Source organism: Homo sapiens, chromosome 10 (assembly GCF_000001405.40).
Source record: "Homo sapiens chromosome 10, GRCh38.p14 Primary Assembly".
NCBI classification, from domain to species: domain Eukaryota; kingdom Metazoa; phylum Chordata; class Mammalia; order Primates; family Hominidae; genus Homo; species Homo sapiens.
The window spans coordinates 37,604,026-37,606,085 of NC_000010.11; the positions used below are offsets into that span (position 1 = coordinate 37,604,026).

General features: G+C 33.4%; 1 pseudogene; it reads right to left on the reverse strand.

Moving 5' to 3' along the window:
* Window positions 1-315: 315 nt before the first annotated feature.
* On the reverse strand, window positions 316-387 carry LOC124902599 (uncharacterized; annotated as a pseudogene).
* Window positions 388-2,060: the final 1,673 nt, after the last annotated feature.

Consider the following 2,060-nt stretch of genomic DNA (forward strand, 5'->3'; position numbering starts at 1 on the left):
CTGAGTCACAGCACATGAGCCAATTCATTAAAGTAAATATTAAAGTAAATCTCTCTAGGTAGGTAGGTAGGTAGATAGATAGAACACACACACTCACTCACACACACATACACATACTTACATGTGTGTGTGTGTGTATATGTATATATACACACACATATATGAGTTTTTTTGGTATTTATGTTGCTTAAGGATCTTATGCTTCTTAAATATGTGACTTAATATGTTTTACCAGTTTCAAAAAATTACCTCTTCACATATTTCTTTTAGCCATAAAACATCTTTTAAAGGGCTAAAGGAAATTAAATTTTAAACACACTTGCACCCCAAACGCATACAGAAATACTAGTAACAAACTATAGAAATGATCCCTGAAAGTATAATCTTGAAATACTAAGAGTTCTTCAGAGTCATATGTCTAGGTGGAGGGAAGGGAAGGAAAAATCAAAAGTACTAAATCTAAAAGAAGGTCATGAAAGAGAGCAAAAGGAACACAAAAGGTAGTCAATAGAAAACCATAGTAAAGAGTTCATTTAAATCCACTGTAGAAAACAAAATGATGGAAAAAGATGTATCAGGCAAAAGCTAACTTAAAAGAAACCTTGGATGGCTATACTAATATGGTACAAAGTATACCTGAAAGAATAAACATTAGTATTGACAAAAAGGACTTTTATGAGTCTAAAATAATCAACTAAAAGATGTATAATTCTACATTTGCATGCTCCTAATAATATAGTCACAAAATATGTAAACTCAGAACTTTCAGAAATAAAAAGAGAGGCAAATCTGCAGTCATAGTTGGTGATTTTCACACACTTCACTCAGTAACTGATAAAATATTTTGGTGTGGATAGAACTTGCATATGGTGTTGGTTAGAGAGTAAATTGGAACACTCACTTTAAAAGACTCTGACATTATTCATTGAAGTTGAATATACACATAGCCTATGGCCAGAGATTTTCCTCCCAGGGTATTGCCAATAGAATATCAAGAAATATGTACAAATGTTTACAGAGGCTATAGTTGTAAAAGGCAGACTGTAAATAACTGAAATGATCATCTATTGTAGAACTAGGAAATTTATTTGGATTTCATAATGATGATGGATTATCATCAGCAGGAAGAAAGAATGAACTAATATTATGTGCAATAATCTAAATGAATCTTACAAACATAATGACAGGTGAAATAAGTCAATTACAAATAATTCAAACCATAACATTCTATGAATAGAAAATTCAAAAAAATTCAACATAGTCTTATAAGTCAACGTGCCAGCTATATTTGGAAAGAGGCAATAGTCAGTGGAAGAGAACACAAGGGAAGTTCCTGAGACTTAAATAAAGTTCTATTTTCCTGAGACATGGATAGTGGCTTAATGGGTAATTTATTTTTGTGATAATTCAGTAAGCTTCTACTCATGAATATTCCCACTTAAGAGTGGAACACTTTATTTTATCCAAAATCTATTTTCAAGTTAAAGCATGCAATAGCATTGTGCAAAAACCGATTTACCTGATGAATTTAATCCTGTTCTATTGAATCATCACTTTCAAGTTCTACTCCTGAAGACAGGCTTGGTGTACCCTTTCAGGGCATTCAGCAATATTCTCTAGTGAAGTCAAACTGAAGACACACTAGCAAAGCATCTTAGAAATCCCGCAGAAATACAAACTACCATCAGAGAATACTACAAACACCTCTATGTAAATAAACTAGAAAATCTAGGAGAAATGGATAAATTCCTCAACACATACACTCTCCCAAGACTAAACCAGGAAGAAGTTGAATCTCTGAATAGACCAATAACAGGAGCTGAAAATGTGGCAATAATCAATAGCTTACCAACGAAAAAGAGTCCAGGACCAGATGGATTCACAGCCAAATTCTACCAGAGGTACAAGGAGGAACTGGTACCATTCCTTCTGAAACTATTCCAATCAATAAAAAAAGAGGGAATCCTCCCTAACTCATTTTTTGAGGCCAGCATCATCCTGATACCAAAGCCTGGCAGAGACACAACAAAAAAAGAGCATTTTAGACCAATATCCTTGAT